The sequence below is a fragment of the Homo sapiens genome, chromosome 2 (genome assembly GCF_000001405.40).
Source record: "Homo sapiens chromosome 2, GRCh38.p14 Primary Assembly".
Classification (NCBI taxonomy): domain Eukaryota; kingdom Metazoa; phylum Chordata; class Mammalia; order Primates; family Hominidae; genus Homo; species Homo sapiens.
In genome coordinates, this window is record NC_000002.12 from 37917459 (window position 1) to 37940249 (window position 22791).

At 40.9% G+C, this 22791-nt stretch overlaps 1 protein-coding gene across 10 annotated transcripts in view, besides 1 other annotated feature; it reads left to right on the forward strand.

Moving 5' to 3' along the window:
• The first annotated feature begins 3442 nt into the window (after positions 1 to 3442).
• Positions 3443 to 22791, forward strand: part of RMDN2 (regulator of microtubule dynamics 2) — a 146238-nt gene continuing 126889 nt past the window's right edge. For 5 of the 10 annotated variants that reach the window (NM_001322212.2, XM_011532616.3, XM_017003476.3 and 2 more), the window contains exons 1-2: positions 7829 to 7967; positions 11804 to 12271. In NM_001322212.2, the coding sequence (NP_001309141.1) occupies positions 11820 to 12271 (452 nt within the window). In that variant the 5' untranslated portion in view covers positions 7829 to 7967; positions 11804 to 11819. Of the gene's footprint in view, positions 3496 to 7828; positions 7968 to 8072; positions 8249 to 11300; positions 11479 to 11803; positions 12272 to 22791 lie in introns of those variants that run through there. The other 5 variants (XM_047443519.1, XM_047443518.1, XM_017003477.3 and 2 more) reach the window with 3 other exon arrangements.
• Positions 7644 to 7883: a silencer, noted in NCBI's record as "silent region_11366". NCBI's record gives its function as "represses an Ori minimal core promoter by ATAC-STARR-seq in GM12878 lymphoblastoid cells {active_cell/tissue: GM12878}" and the evidence as "EXISTENCE:reporter gene assay evidence [ECO:0000049][PMID:35858748]".

The window sequence follows — 22791 nt, forward strand, 5'->3', positions numbered from 1 at the left end:
GCGTCTGGATCCAGACAAGAGAGGTTCTTGGATCTTGCACAAGAAAGAATTCCAGATGACTCCATAAAGTGAAAGCAAGTTTATTAGGAAAGTAAAGGCATAAAGAATGGCTACTCCATAGGCAGAGCAATGGGGTTGCTCCACCAAAGATACTTATGGTTACTTCTTGATGATATGCTAAACAAGAGGTGGATTATTCATGAGTTTTCTGGGAAAGAGGTGAGCAATTCTCAGAACTGAGGGTTCCTCCCCTTTTTAGACCATATAGGGTAACTTCCTGACATTACCATGGCATTTGTAAATTGTCATGGCACTGGTGGGAGTGTCTTTTAACATGCTATTGCTTTATAATTAGCATATAATGAGCAGGGAGGAATACCAGAGGTCACTCTTGTCACCATCTTGGTTTTGGTGGGTTTTAGTTGGCTTCTTTACCACAACTTGTTTTATCAGCAAGGTCTTTGTGACCTGTATCTTGTGGCGACCTCCTATCTCATCCTGTGAGTAAGAATGCCTAAACTCCTGGGAATCCAGCCGAGCAGGTCTCAGCCTTATTTTACCCAGCCCCTATTCAAGATGGAGTCTCTCTGGTTCAAACATCTCTGACAGACTGATGGACAATAATTCAGTCAGTTTATATGCACTTAACCCCTCCATCTTTCATTCTGCAATCTTAATTACGAATGCCGCATAAGAGATTTAATAGGCCTTGCAAAGCAAAACCAGTGATACAAACATTTTAAAGCATACGTATACTTAGAAATAATGCAAAACATTAGATAGTAAATTCTGACAAGAAAAGCTAATTTGAAAAACAGAAATAGCTTTAGACAAAATTTAGGTCTCCAAGGTAAAGTAAAAAGTTTCCAAGTATTTTTGGAAACTTCATTTCTCCTTTCTCAGTTTCTCTACGATTCCATGCTCCCAACCAAACTTCACAGAGGTCTTTCTCCTCTGTAAGCTATCTTACTTGGCATTAGCCAATTTAAAAAAAAGAACTAGCAATCACATAGGCTGATCACATACAGAAAACCTGCCAAAACTCTGGTTGAAAGTGAAGAATTCAGATATCTAGATATTTTTATTTATCCGTAAATCCATTCATTCAAGATATGCATTACTGAATAATATGTACTGAGGGTAGAAAAATGAGTAAGACATGGCCCGTGCTTTTAAGAAAAATTATTCAAATTTTAGAAATTAAGATCTCATAGGATATTCTTTCAATGCTGGGCATTGCCTAACAAGCCTATAGAAGCATTTTTTAAATCTCTAGAAGAATGTACCTGTGTTTGTGCTGTTTAGTGTTAATTAAGGGCTTAGATGCTGTGAAATTACATGTTAACATATGTTAGTTGCAGAGGCCAGAGATGTTGCTAAACATCCTACAATGTAGAATTCTCCCTACAACAAATAATTCTCTGTCCAAAAAATCAATAGCACTGAAGTTGAGAAACCCTGTTCCAAAGAGATCAAAAGGGAAACCAGGAAACCTTTGCCCTCCTTGGAAAGAGAAGTTTTAGTGGTTTCTGCAGTAGGTTGGTACATGGGATAGAAGTCAGGAAGTGAAGCCTGTGAGAGGACACTGCAGGTTTTTCCCAGTGGAGGTTGTTAAATAAGGAAGTCCTAAAATGAGAGGGGAGCCAGGGTTAGTGGAAGTTTCTTTTAGGAATGATAATTGGTGGTACCAAAGTATTTTAAAATGTTTGAATCAACTGAAGTTTTTATTTTTCATTTGGATGTTAGATGCCTTCGAAACTTTCATCTAAGCCATGTTAACAGTGTGTTATCTTGATGAAAGATCTTTACAGTTTCTGCTTCTTTAAAAGGGGAGAAAATAATGCTGCCTATTTATGGCCACATCTCATGATCGCACAGATTTAGCAAAGGAAAATACCCAAAGCGCCTTGATGTCTAATGTTGGATTCTCACCGTTAAATATTTTATGAAAATCTTTTGATCTTTTGTAATGTCACTCTGTAATCTTACTGCATTTCTGTAGGTAAATATCTGAATTATTCAAATTAGTTTATTAACAGTCTTTCATTTGTTAAATACAGATACTCCTTGAGTTATGCTTCTTGTACAATGAGTGACTGGCTGCTCATTATGTCTCAAAGAAAGGTTCCTCTCAGCACCCTTTTGTTTGAGAAAGGGGGGGTTTATGATACTAGGAGAAGTAAATGTGAAGTCATTACTGTCAGAATTGTCTTTTTTGTTGTTGTTTCCTTAAGAAGTTGTTTCTTAAGGGTTGCTTTGCCTCATGTGAGAAAGCCAGAGAGTGCTGTGGCAGAATGGGTCATTCTCTTCTTGTTGGAAGCCTGGCAGAGCCTGTGGCTGGTGGTAGGAAGGATTCTTTTTGCTCTAGCTGGTAAGTGGATGTCATAGCTGGAGGGCGGGGATTTTCTGATCATTTGACATTGGACAGTTATCAGCTGCAGCAGTTGGCGGGGACAAGTTCAGTCTTTTGTTTTGTAAGTGGAAGCAGCCAAGGCCATAGCAACAGATAACTGATTTCCTGACATCAGCAGGTCTAAGTTAGAAGTCAGTGCCAAACCATACTGTATGTTATCACATAGGGTATAAAGGGTTTTATGGGTTTCTCACAGAAATTAACCACCATTTATAGCATAATTTTCATGATATGTCCCATGTCCCAAACAATCAAATTAAAATTATTTTGGATCACAATCCATATGGGTTTGTTACTCTCTTTAGTCTGGATTTCTTCTAAAATCATTACAGTAGTGTTTCAGTTTTCATCTTCTTCTAGACTGTCTTCTCTGAGAGTCCAAATATGTGTCTTAATAATGATAGGAGTATAATTTTTATAAAATGCAAAAAGTTCTAACAACGGTTGGTTAATTAATGTGTCTCTATTGCAATATATGAGAGTAGATTCTCTCTGTTTATTTATTTGTATGCCCAGGGGCTCTGTCTACTGAACAATTTCTTGAAAAGGGTCTGCTCCGAAAGGGAAAATCACTTTCCTTTGTATAGTCTGAAGACAGTAAGTCTGGAAAACTGCTAACCCCAATTTTTCCCAGCAGAATATTGTATAAAATCCACTTACCACCCAAGTCCAAAATGAAATTTTTTTCCAATTATTATATGTAATTAAGCATATCCAGTTATTTTAACTTTTTGTACACGTGTTAACAACATTTTGTCTGATGATGATGAATATTCACCTTTATTTTTAATTAGCGCCAGTGAAACTGACCTTAGCTTGTGAAGTTGATGTATATACTGTCAACAGTGTCCCTGAACATCATCTCCCAGGATGAAGAAAGAATGCAGAGGGAGGGGCAAAACCACTCTTCCTCTGAATCTGTCAAGTTCCACTTTGGATTGTATCCAAGGCTGTGCTTTATTTACAAAGGCCATGGAAAATCAGTGGAGGAATGTGACTTAAAAAATCTTCCACAATTTTTAAAGAAACGTCATTCTTTTCTTGAATCATCACCGAAATACTGCGGAAAACCACTGAGCAAGGTTAGTACATGCCTTTTTGAAAATGACTTTTTTCATGGAACAAAAACTTAATGTTTCTAATGAAATAGAAAGTTTCTAATAAGAATTCTATATCTTAATTAGGTATGTATACTTTTAATAAATTGATTCAACATTGAACTGCTAAGTAGCATAACATAAATATCGTTGTTAATTTTTCTTTCATACATATCTTCCTAAAATACCATTTTTAATTTGTTCAGTATAGGAGTATTAGGCCAACCATTTTATTGGATTTAAGTGATTAATAATTTATTGCACTAATCACTTAGTCTATGGAAATATTTAATAAGCTTATCCTAATGCTTTTTTCAGATAAAACATTTTTACCTTAGAAAGTCCAAGTTAGTTTCTTTTCAGAAATTTTTTTTGTAATTTTCCTGTGTTCTAGAGACTGCCTAATTTTTTTAAAACTACATCAGACATAGTATTATATTCCTCTTTTCCCCAAATTCTATTCCTAGCCTAACCTGAATATCATAAACACAAAGTAATTTTATACTCTGTGGATTAGAGGTTGTGGTAAACTGCAGAAAACCCCCCATGGGGCAAATGATCAGATTTGAGAATTCAGTTTCTCCTCTAACAGAAGCAGTGAAAGCTGAACCCTAAATAACTGAAGTGGGGGATACAAATGATGTAATATCACATTAGAAGGGCTATGATGTTCTTGTAAATGGTGCTATGAAGAGTCCCTTCAAGTGTTCTATCAAAGGCAGGGTCTGGGGGTCCAAGATGGGCTGGGTTAAGAGAAAAGGCTCTCAGACAAAGTTAAGTTTGATATTTGTCTCTAAAACTGACTATGTGGCCTGGGACAAGTTTCTTCACCTCTTGAAGCCTTGGTTTCCTCACCTGTATGTTATTTACTTCATTAGATTGTTGGGAAAATGGAATAAGATAATTCATATAAAGAACGAAGCTTGAAAACTGTGTAGAAGACTCAATAAATGTTCCTGCTGTACCTGTTGCTGCTGCCCTTTGCTCCTCCTCGTTTACAAATGATTCGGGGAACTCAGAGCTTCGGTTACACCTGGGGGACTTCTTCCTCTGCCCCTGCTCTTTGCCTGTGCGCTTCTCCCTCTCTAAATCCCTCTCTCTCAATGGTTAGGGTGTTCTTAATTTAAAAGTTTTTCCCCAGCTATTTGCAGTAAAATATTTCCTTAACCCTTTCCTTAAAATACTTTCTTAAAACCAGCCTGGAAATGAAGGTTGATTCTGCTCTTTGAAGCGGGGGTTGGGGATTTCATAGTGGTACTAATTATACCTGCAGCTCAGCCTTCAGTTTACAAATTAAGAAATTCAGCTTGTAAGTTTGATAAGATTTGGAAATAACAACAAGGAACTAGAAAATGAATAGTTAACTATATAGCATATTGGTAACTGTTAAAGGGTTAAAACTAACTTTGTCATTCAATTGCTTCCTGGAAATAAAACCACTCAAATAAAACCTAAAAAAAAAAAAAAATTGACACTCCCATCTCACATTACTATAATGAAGGACTATACATTTCCTCATGCTTTTCCCTCAAATGTACATACTACTTTCAAATAGTTATCTAATATAGAGGGTGTGCACCATGCCAGGTTCCCAAGATACAAAGATAAATGCTACCATCCTTGAAGATGTTCACAGCCTCACAAACACACAGTCACTGGCAAGCAGTAATTATATAGTGTACACCAGAGAGGTTTGCTGTAAGCTAGCAGGGAGGCATTTTGTATTCATTGAAACTCCTGGTCCTTCCATAAGTTTTGATGGGGCATGGATGAATACTTCTTATGGGGAAGGAGAGAGTGTGTAGCTTCTCAAGGGAAAGAGGTTGAAGTGGTTGAATTGGTTTTGGACGGGTGGCAAGCAACAGGATATTCCAGGCACAAGGAACAGGATAAAAAGGATACAGCTTGTGGAGAGACGATCAGTAGCTTAGCTAGTGCTGAAGTGTAGAATGATGTCTGGTGGAAGTAGCGGAGAAAAGCTGGAAAAGTAGGTTGGGGCAAATCGTGAAGGGTCTGTACCCACTCCTCCCAAATGATTGTCATGCCGTACTGGTTTGATGAATAACAGCAACTCTGAGATTCTTAGTATGTTCTGGTTTTTCCTTCAGATATTCCTTTTAGACTGACATTCCTAGTAGTGGGGAGGGGAATCATTTCTGCTTTTTTATGTCACCCCTGCAACAGTACCTGGCAAAGATAGCGCCTGTCTTTGCTATTTAGTTACAGCTTTGCCAAGGTCAATGGTTGTCACTGTCCCTGAGTTTCTACCTTTCAGATAATTTTTACTCATCAAGGAATAGAAACAAATGTATTGGAAAGGAGCAAGTGTGACATAGTCTATGTCCTGAACCTGAAGATCAAGTCAGTATCAGCTGCCATCTTCCTCTTGGAATAGACTGGTAAGGCCTTGTTCACAGCCCATACGTCACATTTTTATTGAAAGCCTCTTCTGTGCAATGTGCTGGGGATGCAGCAGTGAACAACTCAGTGGGCTCCTGGAAAAGCTTAAATTTTGTTTTAAATACTGAAAAGCTCCTTTTAAGTATTAGCGAAGAGACAGTCATGTTTCTTTGGTATCTAAATCTTGTTAAAAGAGAAAATTGTTTTGCATGATCGGTTTATATCATATTGTATTCTAGTTAAATAAAGCTAGCATTATATTGCAAGATTGCTGCAAACCATAATAAATAGGAGTGAAGTGGGTTTGTAGAAGGTAATATTTTACTAGTTCCAAATCTGAGAGGTTAAAGATTAATCTGCTCTTTTTCCAAATACAACTTAGGTTTTTGCTCTTGTTTTTTGAGACAGAGTCTCATTCTGTCCCAGACTGGTGAGCAGTGGCCCGATCTCGGCTCACTGCAACTTCTGCCTCTGAGGTTTAAGCAATTCTCATGCCTTAACCTCCCGAGCAGCTGGGACTACAGAAGTGCGCCACCACACTCGGCTAATTTTTGTATTTTTAGTAGAGATGGTGTTTCATCATATTGGCCAGGCTGGTCACGAACTCCTGGCCTCAAGTGATCCGTCCGCCTCAGCCTCTCAAAGTGCTGGGCTTACAGTCGTGAGCCACTGCGCCCTGCTACAAATTACTTTTAATAAAATGACCATGGCCAGGCTTACTTATTCTTCAATGCGGCTTGCCTGAAGCTCAAAAAATCATCTTAAAGAGCCTATAGAATCCCTGAATCCCTATCCGTAAACAGTAGTATATGGATTGCAAAACAAGCCTTCTGGATTCTTCATGGCTTTATGGGTGTTGTCTGCTGTTGCTGTTTTGAGAAAGAGTGTACCCATTTTTAATTCTGCTCAATATATTGGTGGGAAGTTTAGAGATTAATGTTATGCAAACCTAAGCTTGAGGCAGTAATACTCAAGGTGCGGACAATACAGAAGCAGTGTATGTACTGTTTTGTTTTTGTTTTTGAGACGCTCTATCACCCAGGCTGGAGTGCGGTGGCGCGATCTCGCCTCACTGCAACCTCTGCCTCCGGGTTCAAACGATTCTCCTGCCTCATCCTCCCAAGTAGCTGGGATTACAGGCGTCCACCACCACGCCCGGCTAATTTTTTGTATTTTTAGTAGAGACAGGGGTTTCGCCACGTTGGCCATACTGGTCTCGAATTCCTGACCTCAGGTGATCCGCCTGCCTCAGCCTCCCAAAGTGCTGGGATTACAGGCGTGACCCACCGCGCCCGGCCCAGTTTTTAAGAGCGTATTTAGCAGAATTAGTTTCATTATACAAACCACAGAAAGCTGGGTAAAACCTTAAATGTCAGGCATCTGAAAAAACAGCGGCTTTCATCTAAAGGCAACTCGGAATGGCGGGGAGAAGGAAGAGGCTGTCAAAATTGCTCATTAAAAGAAAACGTGAGATAAAGCTATGAACACGGGGCTGCAGATATCAGTAATTAGTGCAAGGCGTCTGCCTTTAATTCAGTCGTGAGGAGTAAAGTGCAAGGTTGTGCCTAGAAAGGGCACAGAAAAAGGTTTAACTAGGGGAGAGGGAGTGGGTTTGAGAGCCGGAACGAAGCGAGCTGGCGGTGGGCGTGCGGAGTGGCAGCAACGCGAGAGGGAACGCGCTGGGGCTAGCGCGGAGGCCCAGAGCCCAGGCGGGGGAAAAGGTGCCGACCGGCTTCGAAGGGAGGCGACGGCCGAGACACACGGTCCGGCGCGAGCCAGGCGCCCCGCGACGTGCAATTTTATTTTGCAAAAGGTGCACCCAACGCCAGTCCCGGTAGAGTTGAACCCACCACGAGAGGGAGAGGGGGCGGGAGCGGGGGGCCGAGCGGCCGCGGGCTCCTCCCCCGGCGCCTCCGCTATCTGGGTCAGGACGCGACGGCCGCGGCGCGGGACCTTAGGACCCGCGGGCTCCAGGGCTACTGTCCGTCCGCCACTGCGCGCCAGCAGGTCCTGGTCTCCGCTCTCCAACAGCTGAAAGGCCGGCGCAGTGAACACAGGTGCGTGCGCAGTCTGGGAGGGGGCTGCTCAGCCGCTGGGGGCCGGACCGCGCCGGGGACTTGCGGAGGGAAGCGGAAATACTTGCGGTGGGGGCGACTGCACTTCCGGGTCGGTGTGTCCCTGGCGAAGCTTGAGCCTGCTAGCCAGCGGTGCTCTGCGTTCCCGGGGCTGGAGCAGCGGCCCATAGTGGCTTCCCGGGTTCATCCCTCGCTGACCCTGCGCCACGGAAGCCCTAGCCCCGGAGGTCGCTGGTATTTCCTCGCACGCGGACCCTTCTGGGGTGCGTGGGGAACAGGCAGTTTGCTGCCTCGGCCCGGCTGGTCCCTGCAAACCCCAAAGAATTTCAACAGAGACACTTGCTGGGCTCTCGCTCGGCTTTCAGCCTTGCGCAAACATTTTGTTTTTGTTTGTGTGGGGTTTTTTTTGCTCTCAGACTCCGTCTGTGCCTATTTCACACAAAAACGAAGGCCGGATTATCAGTGCTGCCAACATAGGGGAATGAGGCAAACACTTGGGAGCCCTAAATTTAAAATAAATTATAAAATACAAAAAAACCATGAAAACCTGATGAAATGAACAATAGAATTCACTTCGAAAGTACCAGGTTTTCCAGGACGCTGTAGGAAATCTGATCACTAGTTCAAGGTCTCAGTGCAATTCTCTTAGGAAACTTAAACCTCGGGCTTTTTTGTAATGTCTCTTTATCCTTGCAAAATTTGTCATACCTTCCCCGAGTTTATTAGAGTTATGCATTTTATATTTTTCTCCTCTAAGGGTCTGCTGATGAAGTTAATGAATATCTGTGCTAGATTTATGGTGAAAGCATTATAATTAATTTAGTAAAGCATAATTTCTACATCAAAAAATTAATTTTAAATAAAACTAGAACATGGAAATGAAATGTTTCTTCAGACATTTCTTCAGAAAACATTTCATATTCTATTTTCTTTAGAGTCAACATTTTGATGTCATTTTAGAATACTTGATTCTCATCTCAACCTTTAATATTACACAATAATACACATTAATTAAGTGCCATAATCTATATTAAAATGTCATTTTCCATTGTTATTTACTAGCACCTTACAAATTGAAACGTAACATAATACTTTGTATCTGATTATTAAAATATTAGAGTTTTAAAATCTGTTTGGTAAAGTTTTTAATTACTATATTTTTTTATACTACAAGTGTATACTATTAACATAATTAGAAGTATGAAAGCTAACAAGGCTGGAGGCAGTGGCCCATGCTGCTTATCCCAGCACTTTGAGAGGTGGAGGCAGGATTGCTTGGGCCCAGGAGTTCGGGACCAGCCTAGCAACATAGGGAGACTCACTCTCTACAAGTAATGTAAAAATTAGCCGGGCGTGGTTGCCCACGCTTGTGGTCCTAGCTACTAGGGAGGCTGAGGCAGGAGGATGACTTGAGCCCAAGTGGTCGAGGCTACAGTGAGCAGTGATTGTACCACTGCACTCCAGCCTAGGTGACAGAGCGAGACTCTAAAAAAAAAAAGCTATGTAAATGACTTCATACAACCTTTGAAATTATTCTGAAGGCAAGCAAGTACTCTGATGTATTTTGTACATTATTTTTAATGTGTCATTTTTCAAATTATCAGTGTTGAAGCACATTTGTTTTATGCTGTTATAAAACTCAAACATAGCTTGAACTGTTAGTCTTTAATTGTGTTTGTTTAAAACATCAGCTCCGTTGATTCTATTTTTTTCTAGTTAATTTTTGTGGTTCTGAAATAATATTTCAGCTTTGAGCATCTCTGTTCAGTCAGTACTCTCCTTCACCTCCTTGTTGATGCTTTCCAAATCTCCCACATGTTGTGGGTGCATCCAAGAGTTAGGAACAGGTTGTCAAAGGTGACAGTTTTCACTTCCCAGTTGGGTGATCACTGGGTAAGTGACTTGACACCTGTGTGCCTCAGTTCACTTATCTGCAAAATAATAATAGGACCTGCATGGAAGAGATGATTTGGAATTGGTGCAGTTCCTAAAGAAAGGGCCAAGCAAAATAAGACTTTCCCACCTGCTGAAACCTGGTCCTGTCTCAAGAATAAGTTCTCCTTCCTAGGTAGATTTTTACTTCTACTTATTTGCTTATTAAATGAAAATATTTTCAAACTAGGCTATATTTCTTAATGTAAAAGTCCAAGGTATGGGCAAAAGAAAGCAATCAGAATAGGAAGATTTCCTTTAATAGACCTCTATATCAGCGAATGGACATCCTGCCTGAATAATTTTATTGACAAAAATAAAGATGATTAAACTTGATGTGTGAATATTAGCTGGAATGCAGTTGTAATTAATGGGCATAGAGTGACTTATTTTTTTGCAATAAGCTTTCAAGATAATTTAGTTTTGTGATACAATTTTTTTGTAGAATACATTTACACATCTAGCAATAATTAGCTACAATTTCAGCTGAAGTTACAAATTGATTGGAATCTGTTGCTGGCATGTCTCCTGGATGAGCTGGGAGTGGGCAGATGGTTATAGTTCCCAGTTATACCAATTAGGTGAAAAAAAATTTTTTTAAGTTAATTCCAGGCAAATTTCTGTGAGGTAAAGCAGGCCAGATTAAGTACCAAGGCTTTCTCTGGAATCTTTGGTTTAAAAGAAGGAATTCTTAAATCTCTTGGATATAATATTCACTAACACCTGAGGTAATTTCTGGAAGATTATTTTAAAGTCAGTCCTTCTCTTTGACACTTAGGCCTGTAATGAAGTGTAGAACATCCAAACAGGATACTTTCTGTGTTCCAGGCATATACTCTAGTGAAATAGGAATCCAAAGACGTTCTTATTTTAAGCAGGCTTTTCAGAAATAGATTATGGCTGCTTGTTCTCTCAGACCCTCTTCCATAGGGCATTTGCGAGCCCAGAAATCCTAACCAGTAGACCACCAAGGAAGCATTTGAAACATTACATTTAGTTGGCCATTTGAAGTGTAAGAAACAATGCTTGGTAGAATATGTGGAATCACAGGATATAAAGCAGAGGATGGTGAATTTCGGGTATACAACCTAATTCAGAATTTTCATCTTACTGATATTTTTTCCCCAATTCACACTCCCAGCTATTTACTTTGCTTCCTATCTTCACTTCCTATCTTAGAACAGTGAAGCAATCAAAGAGAGCTTGCATAACCTCCCACCACTGCATCTACCCACCTATTTAAATCTCTGCTCACATAATCTGCCTTTTATGACTATGAATGAATGGTTTATGTTCCCATCAAAGGTCAACTCCTGTGCTTGTGCGATAGAGCCCACCTCCTTTGCCTTCTCAAGTTTATTGCTATGCAGTTTTCTATATGTCTACTTCATCAATTTTTCTTTTCTTTTTATGGACTCTTTTCTGTTGGCAAAAAAAACCTGTTATTTCTTGATCTTTTGGCACCATTTTCGCACTTAATAATGGCGTAATTTCTCTTCTATTTGTTTTCTATTTGCCCATCTGTTCTTTTTTCTCCTTTTCCTGCCTTCTTTTGGACCAAGTGAGTATCTTTAGTGTTCCATTTTTATCTCTATTATTGTCTTGATATGTATTGCCTGGGGTTTTTTTGTTTGTTTGTTTTTTAGTGGTTATTCTAGGGTTTACAGCTATGCATCTTTAACTTAATATGATAATTCTTCATTGTAATCTAAGACTCTTACAACAGTATACTTCCATTTGTCCTTTCCCACCCTTTGGGCTATTGTCCTACTTTTTGTAAATCCTGTGATGTAAACTTGGCTTTTGTTGATTGAAAAAGCACCTATATTTTTGTCTTGGACAAAGACATAAACAACATTCATTTACATTTATGTTTTTAATTTTAGAAACGAAAACCAAGAAATGCCTTATTCCACAAACAAAGAGTTGATACTTGGCATCATGGTGGGCACTGCTGGAATCAGCTTGCTGCTCTTGTGGTACCACAAGGTCCGTAAACCAGGGATAGCAATGAAGTTACCTGAATTTCTTTCTCTGGGTAATACATTTAATTCAATAACTTTGCAAGATGAAATACATGATGACCAAGGAACAACAGTAATCTTTCAAGAAAGGCAACTTCAGATACTGGAGAAGTTAAACGAATTACTGACAAATATGGAAGAACTCAAAGAGGAAATCAGATTTCTTAAAGAAGCTATTCCAAAGCTGGAGGAATATATACAAGATGAACTTGGAGGGAAAATAACTGTTCATAAGATAAGCCCTCAGCACAGAGCGAGAAAAAGAAGACTCCCCACAATTCAAAGTTCAGCAACAAGTAATAGTTCAGAGGAAGCAGAAAGTGAAGGAGGGTAAGTTTCTTTAAGATATTTCCTATGTTGAATTGGTTATTATCATTATTACTATTATTTAGGTATTTTCATTATGGGTTCCAGTCATATATCCTGCTGCTCACATAAAATGAAAAGGAGTGATATTTTGACTTAGATTATAATTAAAGTCATATTCAGTAGTCAGTATTTAAGCTAGTTTAGACCATATTGACAAAAGGAATATAAAAAACTTACTGGTAGCAGGTGGTATTATGTGAATATTGAGGAAGGCAGTAATTACTTGCCAAAGTGTATAACCTACTGTTTTAATGTAGCCACTCTGACTCCTTCTGAGAATTCTCTAGACCACTCCTGTTCAAAAGAACTTTCCGCAGTGATGGAAATGGTCCAAGTCTGTGCTGCCCAATGTGGTAGCCACTAGCCCCCTCTGGCCACAAAGCACATGAAATGTGGCTAATGCAACTGAGGAACTGAATTTTCCTTTTATGTCATTGAAGTTGTAATTTTATTTAATTGTAATTAAATTTAAATAGCCACTTGGGCTACTGGCTACTGAATTTTAGTGCAGGTCAAAAAAGACTTGAGAGTATATAGGTGACTCTGTCTCATCTTTGCATGGGTTAATCCAGTGGCTAGGTCTCTTTTCTTTTCTTTTTTTCCTTGCAGAAACCCTCAGCTCACCCGAGGGCCAATGGAAATTTATTAATTTTTTTGTCCTTTTCCATCCTTCCCCAAGTGGCTTTTCCTTGCAAAATGCCTGACATGACACCAGAGGGGAACCTGGGAGCGAGGGGCACCCCAAGGGGCAGCCCAGGGACTTAAATACAAGCTGGAGGGCAGGGCGCAGGTGGGACAGGCAAGAGACAGCACGAGGGACATGGCTTCTCAGGGAGACCAAAGACTTACTTTCTTGCAGGAAGCAGCCGTGCCAGAGGGCAGGGGACTAGGATCCTGGGTGCAGAGTGGGTGAGCAGAGAGGCCCCCAACCCTGGATGGAACCCACATTCCCCAAAGAAGTAGCAGCAGGGGATGAGGGCCTTCCCTGGTGGACTCCAGAGACAGAGGGGAGAGTGAGCCAGATGTGCTGCCTCAGGGAAAGGGAGGAGGTGCTAGCAGAGTGAGGGTTAAGGCTGGTGCCCAGCCTCTGGCACGGTGGGCCTTCCGCCTCCGCCTGACATGAGGACAAAGGGGCACAGTGGGCAGGCAGCGCATGGGTCTGTCTCTGGCAGGGCAGAGGGCGGCAGGAGCAGACTCCCTCCAGGCTCAAGACACAGGCCCAGCGCTGCTACCCACCCACCCACCCGCCGACTAGGTCTCTTTTCTGAGTCACAGTTTCAAATGATTTAAGATTATTTTAGATTCCTTCTGAATATTTTCCTTCCCTATTTTAAAACCAGTCAACAACTTTTTGTTGTTGTTCAAGAACACAAATTTTTTAGATCTTCCTAGAGCTATCATTTGTGGCTCTGCCCTATTTGAAAATTATTGAGAGTCATTGTTCTAGTTCATTTACAAATGTAGGAAGATCTAAAAAATTTGTGTGACTCAGAAAAGAGACCTAGTAGTTATTTATTATGGATGTAGAAAACAGCAGATTAGTACTCTAATAATGACAAAAATCCCAGTATAGCATTGAGCATCATTGAGAGTTATCGAAGACAAACCAGGTGGTTATCCTACCTGTATGTAAATCTGTGGTATTTCTTCATCGTGTGTCCTGTGTGCAGTTTTGGCAGTTGCATCTTAGAAAAGACCTAATGGAACTAGGGACTAACCAGAGAAGGTCTGCTAGACTGAGAGGAAAAATGGCAGTTCTGCTGAAGGAGTATAGACCAAAAGGGTGAATGGCCTTCAATCTAAAAGGACACTGGTTAAGTTGAGCTTAGGCTTATTCAAGAAGTTCTGAAATTCTAGAAAAAGAGGCAAACTTTGATAAGTTTAGGATTCATTTAGGACAAGTAAAAAGAAGATAATTATGGGACTTAATGAATTTCAAGTAATGGTGTAGGCACAGATGTTTTATGTGGGTTCAAGAAGGATTTGTGAAATTTATGAATGACAGTAACATACAGCTAGTTGGAAAAACTAGACACGTCAAAACTTCAAGACTGATGTCAGGAGAGACATTCCCTCCTCTTGCTTGATCCTGGGTGCCTTTGTTAGCAATAAAATACTAGAGTAGATGCAATACATCCCCAGTGCCTTGGACTACAGCAAATGGCACTCAGTAAAGAAGGGGAGAAGCTTTTTCCTGTTTAGCTCTCCTTTAGAAAAATAAACAAAAGCAGACAAACAGTTTGGATTTTTTTGAGAAAGGAATAAGATACAAAAAATTTATTTATTTATTTATTTTATTTATTTATTTTTTTAATTGATCATTCTTGGGTGTTTCTCGCAGAGGGGGATTTGGCAGGGTCACAGGACAGTAGTGGAGGGAAGGTCAGCAGATAAACAAGTGAACAAAGGTCTCTGGTTTTCCTAGGCAGAGGACCCTGCGGCCTTCCGCAGTGTTTGTGTCCCTGGGTACTTGAGATTAGGGAGTGGTGATGACTCTTAAGGAGCATGCTGCCTTCAAGCATCTGTTTAACAAAGCACATCTTGCACCGCCCTTAATCCATTCAACCCTGGGTGGATACAGCACATGTTTCAGAGAGCACAGGGTTGGGGGTAAGGTCACAGATCAACAGGATCCCAAGGCAGAAGAATTTTTCTTAGTACAGAACAAAATGAAAAGTCTCCCATGTCTACCTCTTTCTACACAGACACGGCAACCATCCGATTTCTCAATCTTTTCCCCACCTTTCCCCCCTTTCTATTCCACAAAACCGCCATTGTCATCATGGCCCATTCTCAATGAGCTGTTGGGTACACCTCCCAGACGGGGTGGTGGCCGGGCAGAGGGGCTCCTCACTTCCCAGTAGGGGCGGCCGGGCAGAGGCGCCCCTCACCTCACGGGGCGGCTGGCCGGGCGGGGGGCTGACCCCCCCCACCTCCCTCCCGGACGGGGCGGCTGGCCGGGCAGAGGGGCTCCTCACTTCCCAGTAGGGGCGGCCGGGCAGAGGCGCCCCTCACCTCCCGGACGGGGCGGCTGGCTGGGCGGGGGGCTGACCCCCCGACCTCCCTCCCGGACGGGGCGGCTGGCCGGGCGGGAGGCTGACCCCCCCACCTCCCTCCCGGACGGGGCGGCTGGCCGGGCGGGGGGCTGACCCCCCCACCTCCCTCCCGGACGAGGTGGCTGCCGGGCGGAGACGCTCCTCACTTCCCAGACGGGGTGGCTGCTGGGTGGAGGGGCTCCTCACTTCTCAGACGGGGCGGCTGCCGGGCGGAGGGACTCCTCACTTCTCAGATGGGGCGGTTGCCAGGCAGAGGGTCTCCTCACTTCTCAGGGCGGCTGGGCAGAGACGCTCCTCACATCCCGGACGGGGCAGCAGGGCAGAGGTGCTCCTCACATCTCAGACGATGGGCGGCCGGGCAGAGATGCTCCTCACTTCCCAGATGTGATGGTGGCCGGGAAGAGGCGCTCCTCACTTCCTAGATGGGATGGCGGCCGGGCAGAGACGCTCCTCACTTTCCAGACTGGGCAGCCAGGCAGAGGGGCTCCTCACATCCCAGACGATGGGCGGCCAGGCGGAGACGCTCCTCACTTCCCAGACGGGGTGGCGGCTGGGCAGAGGCTGCAATCTCGGCACTTTGGGAGGCCAAGGCAGGCGGCTGGGAGGTGGAGGTTGTAGCGAGCCGAGATCACGCCACTGCACCCCAGCCTGGGCACCATTGAGCACTGAGTGAACCAGACTCCGTCTGCAATCCCGGCACCTCGGGAGGCCGAGGCTGGCGGATCGCTCGCGGTTAGGAGCTGGAGACCAGCCCGGCCAACACAGCGAAACCCCGTCTCCACCAAAAAAATACGAAAACCAGTCAGGCGTGGCGGCGTGCGCCTGCAATGGCAGGCACTTGGCAGGCTGAGGCAGGAGAATCAGGCAGGGAGGTTGCAGTGAGCCGAGATGGCAGCAGTACCATCCAGCTTCGGCTCGGCATCAGAGGGAGACCGTGGAAAGAGAGGGAGAGAGAGACCGTGGAAAGGGGAGAGGGAGAGGGAGAGAGGAGTACAAAAAAATTTAGATGTGAAATCTTTCTAAATAAGTATGTAGAAACTCACTTTTTAAATAAATAAAATATTTTTCAGAAACAAGGTTTTTGTAAAGTACATTTGTGTAAATTTTAGACTGCCTGTCCTTTTATAATCTCCTGTGGGACTGAAGACTGGCCATGGGGAGGAAGAGTCATCCCCTCTTTCCCATTTTTAAGGTGGGATGTGCTCTTCATACACAAGTGTCCTTGATAGCAAAAATTAAAATATTAAGTGACAGTTACATGTTCCATATGTAACATTTCTCTTTTGCAATAGGTACCTGAAGATTTTTACTTCTTTTCAAAAAATGGATATCAGCCACAATTTTCTAATACTACTTGTTTCACACAAGAAAGGAAAAATATCTAATTATATCCTTAGTTGTTGACAAAAACTTGAGTGGAGGACTCATGGAATTTGGGTAGATCAGTGGAACATGTTTTCTGTAACCATTATTAGAATCTCTTGTATTCTGTCTCTTAGTACACAAGTATTATGGACCTATGCACTTATGCCTTTTCTGGGGCTCAGCTGATTTTCTGCTGGGTATGGTGGTGATGAACAATGCTCAAATTCTCATAAGGTGGCCCTCAGAGGGGTCTGTTAAGTTTGTGTCTGTGTCCTTTTTAGCACTAGTGTTAACATTTTGGAAAGCATCTTTGCTTCTTGGTAATCACATGTTGTTACTGATTTATTTATTTATATTTTATTTTTTATTTTTTATTTTTTTGTCACTCCGAGGCAGAATCAGCTATGCTGTGGCAGCATCAGTTTCTTTCAGTAAGAATAGTATTCGACCCCAAAAGCTGGGTATATGGGGGAGTACTATTTTTAGGGAGGATGATATCAGAGGCTGGTTGGGTCCCTTTGAGGACACGGTAAAAAATATACTCTTAAGGTCACTAGTTCACATTGATGTTTTCAGTTTCAATTTTAAGTTATTTCTGAAAACTTTTCAGTTCCTTTTATTTTTTTAAGCTTCCTACCTCTCTTTGTCATATTTGACTTACGTTGCTCTATCACTCTATGGGTCTAAAACTATTATTTGAATTACAATATTATATGAAGCTTTAGAAACATCTTTTTAAAGAGTTAACTTTGATTCCAGTTGAAAGTAACAAATTCATTATTCTTTCATTTCACTGTGGGCTTTAGGAAGAATAGATGAGTTTCAAAATTAGACTCAGGGTTGTATAGTGACCATATGGGTCTTTTTTCTTTTCTTCTTGCCCTAGATATTTTCATTTACTGTTAGGTTCATATGATACTCTCATATAGTATCAACAAAAACAGTACTGATTATTCGAAAATAACACAAAACACCACGAATCCACTCCCAGAATACCAGCATAATGTCAGGCATAGTATATATTGCCTTAGATAATATTACTTCGTAGATAATAGAGAATGATGATGAAAGTAAGACCACAGACAGATACAGATTTTTGAGGTTTTATTTGAAACTCTTAACTTTCACTTTCATGAGCCAAAAATATAGACAGTGCTTTTTGTTCATTTGTGTTTTTACTCTTAACATTACTTGCTCCTGTCAGGTCCGTTTTAATGTGGAACTTCAGTTGTTCAAAGCATGGAGATGAACAGAGATTCAGAAGCTCATTGTGTGGTGATTTATATGCCTTGCTGTTATAGTTGTCTAAATTTGCAAAACAAAGTTGTTTTCTACTTCTGATCTTTTAAAAAATGAAACATCACGTATATAATTGAAGTACCCTCTCTACTCCTTTCTGTCAGGGAAACTGTTATCTTGAAGTTGGTGTGCATTCTTCCTTTGAAAGTGTTAATGTTTCTCCTACATGTGCACTTTTATATAAACAAGACATAAATGGTCTTTTCTTCTTAAAATTTACATACATATCATTATATGGCACACACATTTTGTAACATGTTTTGCAATAAATTTTTTTGAGTTTTTTCCATATTGATATGTATATATATAAAATTATTTCATTCTTTTTAAGTGCTATGCTGCATTCCTTTGAATGAATATACCTTAATTTATTTCCCTATTGATGGATGTTTAGGTTATCATGTTTTTGCTCCTTTTTTCTTTTATTAACTTTAAGTTCTGGGATACATGTGCAGAACGTGCAGGTTTGTTAACATAGGTAGACATGTGCCGTGGTGGTTTGCTGCACCTATCAACCCGTCATCTATGTTAGGTAATTGTCCTAATGCTACCCCTCCCCATACTCCCCACCTGCTGACAGTCCCCGGTGTGTGATGTTCCCCTCCCTGTGTCCATGTGTTCTCATTGTTCAACTCCCAGTTATAGTGAGAACATGCAGTGTTTGGTTTTCTGTTCCTGTGTTAGTTTGCTGAGAATGGTGGTTTCCAGCTTCATCCGTGTCCCTGCAAAGGACATGATCTCATTCTTTTTTAGGGATGCATGGTATTCCATAGTGTGTATGTGACACATTTTCTTTATCCAGTCTATAATTGATGGACGGTTGGTTCCAAGTCTTTGCTATTGTGAATAGTGCTGCAATAAACATACGTGTGCGTGTGTCTTTACAGTAGAATGCTTTATGATCCTTTGGGTATATACCCCGTAATGGGATTGCTGGGTCAAATGGTATTTCTAGTTCTAGATCCTTGAGGACTTGCCACACTGTCTTCCAAAATGGTTAAACTAATTTACACTCCCACCAACAGTGTAAAGTGTTCCTGTTTCTCCACATCCTCTCCAACATCTGTTGTTTCCTGACATTTTAATGATCACCATTCTAACTTGTATAAGATGATATCTCATTGTGGTTTTGATTTGCACTTCTCCAATGAACAGTGATGATGAGCTTTTTTTCTTATATTTGTTGGCCACATAAATGTCTTCTTTTGAAAAGTGTCTGTTTATATCCTTTGCCCACTTTTTGATGGGGTTGTTTGCTTTTTTCTTGTAAATTTGTTTAAGTTCCTTGTAGATACTTAATATTAGCCCTTTGTCAGACGAATAGATTGCAAAAATTTTCTCCCATTCTGTAGGGTGCCTGTTCACTCTGATGATACTTTCTTTTGCTGTGCAGGAGCTCTCTAGTTTAATTAGATCCCATTTGTCAATTTTGGCTTTTGCTGCAATTGCTTTTGGTGTTTTAGTCATGAAGTCTTTGCTCATGCCTATGTCCTGAATGATATTGCCCAGGTTTTCTTCTAGGGTTTTTATGGTTTTCAGGTCTTAACGCTTAAGTCTTTAATCCAATCCATCTTGAGTTAATTTTTTGTATCAGGTGTAAGGAAGGGGTCCAGTTTCAGTTTTTTTTTGCATATGGCTAGCCAGTTTTCCCAACACCATTTATTAAACAGGGAATCTTTTCCCTATTGCTGTTTTTGTCAGGTTTGTCAAAGATCAGATGGTTGTAGATGTGTGGTGTTATTTCTGAAGCCTCTGTTCTGTTCCATTGGTCTATATATCTGTTTTGGTACCAGTACCATGCTGTTTTGGTTACTGTAGTATAGTTTGAAGTCAGGTAGCATGATGCCTTCAGCTTGGTTCTTTTTGCTTAGGATTGTCTTGGCTATACAGGTTCCTTTTTGGTTCCATATGAAATTTAAAGTAGCTTTTTTCTAATTCTGTGAAGAAAGTCAATGGTAGCTTCATGGGAATAGCATTGAATCTGTAAATTACTTTGAGGAGTGTGGCCATTTTCACAATATTGATTCTTCCTATCCATGAGCATGGAATGTTTTTCCATTTGTTTGTGTCCTCTCTTGTTTCTTTGAGCAGTGGTTTGTAATTCTCCTTGAAGAGGTCCTTCACATCCCTTCTAAGTTGTATTCCTAGGTATTTTATTCTATCTGTAGCAATTATGAATGGGAGTTTGCTCATGATTTGACTCTCTATTATTGGTTTGTAGGAATGCTTGGAATTTTTGCACAATGATTTTGTATCCTGAGACTTTGCTGAAGTTGCTTATCAGCTTAAGGAGATTTGGGGCTGAGACGATGAGGTTTTCTAAATATACAGTCATGTCATCTGCAAACAGAGATAATTTGACTTCCTCTCTTCATACTTGAATACCCTTTATTTCTTTCTCTTTCCTGATTGCTCTGGGCAGAACTTCCAGTGCTATGTTGAATAGGAGTGGTGAGAGAGGGCATCCTTGTCTTGTGCCGGTTTTTAAAGGAAATGCTTACACCTTTTGCCCATTCAATATGATATTGGCTGTAGTTTTGTCATAAATAGCTTTTATTATTTTCAGATATGTTCCATCAATACCTAGTTTATTGAGTGTTTTTAGCATGAAGGGGTGTTTTGAAGGCCTTTATTGAAGGCCTTTTCTGCATCTATTGAGATAATCGTGTGTTTTTTGTTGTTGGTTCTGTTTATGTGATGGATTATGTTTACTGATTTGTGTATGTTGAACCAGCCTTGCATCCCAGGGATGAAGGCAACTTGATCATGGTGGATAAGCTTTTTGATGTGCTGCTGGATTTGGTTTGCCAGTATTTTATTGAGGATTTTTGCATCAATCTTCATCAGGGATATTGGCCTGAAATTTTCTTTTTTTGTTGTGTCTCTGCCAGGTTTTGGTATCAGGATGATGCTGGCCTCATAAAATGAGTTAGGGAGGAGTCCCTCTTTTTCTGTTGTTTGGAATAGTTTCAGAAGGAATGGTACCGCTCCACTTTGTACCTCTGGTAGAATTCAGCTGTGAATCTGTGTGGAGCTGAGCTTTTTATGGTTGGTAGGCTATTAAGTACTGCCTCAATTTCAGAACTTGTTATTGGTCTATTCGGGGATTTGACTTCTTCCTGGTTTAGTCTTGGGAGGGTGTATGTGTCCAGGAATTTATCCGTTTCTTGTAGATTTTCTAGTTTATTTGTGTAGAGGTGTTTATAGTATTCTTTGATGGTAGTTTGTATTTTTGTGGAATCAGTGGTGATCTCCCCTTTATCATTTTTTTATTTAGTGTCTATTTGAGTCTTCTCTCCTTTCTTCTTTATTAATCTGGCTAGCGGTCTATCTATTTTGTAATCTTTTCAAAACACCAGCTCCTGGATTCACTGATTTTTTGAAGAGTTTTTTGATCTCTATCTCCTTCAGTTCTGCTCTGATCTTAGTTATTTCTCATCTTCTGCTAGGTTGTGAATTTGTTTGCTCTTGCTGCACTAGTTCTTTTAATTGTGGTGTTAGGGTGTCAATTTTAGATCTTTCCTGCTTTCTCCTGTGAGCATTTAGTGCTATAAATTTCCCTCTAATCACTGCTTTAGCTGTGTCCCAGAGATTCTGGTACGTTGCATTTTTGTTCTCGTCGGTTTCAAATAACTTATTTATTCTGCCTTAATTTTGTTATTTACTCAGTAGTCATTCAGGAGCAGGTTGTTCAGTTTCCATGTAATTGTGCAGTTTTGAGTGAGTTTCTTAATCCTGAGTTCTAGTTTGATTCCACTGTGGCCTGAGAGACTGTTATGATTTCCATTCTTTTACATTTGCTGAGGAGTCTTTTACTTCCAATTATGTGGTTGATTTTGGAATAAGTGCGGTGTGGTGCTGAGAAAAATGTATATTCTGTTGATGTGTGGTGGAGAGTTCTATAGATGTCTATTAGGTCCGCTTGGTTCAGAGCTGAGTTCAAGTCCTGAATATCCTTGTTAATTTTCTGTCTCGTTGATTTGTCTAATATTGACAGTGGGGTGTTAAATTCTCCCACTCTTATTGTGTGGGAGTCTAAGTCTCTTTGTATGTCTCTAAGAAATTGCTTTATGAATCTGGGTGCTCTTGTATTGGGTGAGTATATATTTAGGATAGTGAGCTCTTCTTGTTGCATTGATCCCTTTACCATTATGTAATGCCCTTCGTCTTTTTTGATGTATGTTGGTTTAAAGTCTGTTTTATCAGAGACTAGTATTGCAAACCCTGCTTTTTTTAGCTTTCCATTTGCTTTGTAAATCATCTTCCATCCCTTTATTTTGTGCATATGGGTGTCTTTGCATGTGAGATGGGTCCCCTAAATACAGCACACCAATGGGTCTTGACTCTTTATCCAATTTCCAGTCTTTTGATTGGGGCATTTAGCCCATTTACATTTAAGGTTAATATTGTTATGTGTGAATTTGATCCTGTCCTTATGATGCTAGCTGGTTATTTTGCCCATTAGTTGATGCAGTTTCTTCATAGTGTGGATGGTCTTTACATTTTAGTGTGTTTTTGCCGTGTCTGGTACCAGTTTTTCCTTTCCGTATTTAGTGCTTCCTTCAGGAGCTCTTGTAAGGCAGGCCTGGTGGTGACAAAATCCCTCAGCATTTGCTTGTCTGTAAAGGGTTTTATTTCTTCTTCACTTGTGAAGCTTAGTTTGGCTCGATATGAAGTTCTGGGTTGAAAATTCTTTTCTTTAAGAATGTTAAATATTTACCCCCACTCTCTTCTGGCTTGTAGAGTTTGTGCAGAGAGATT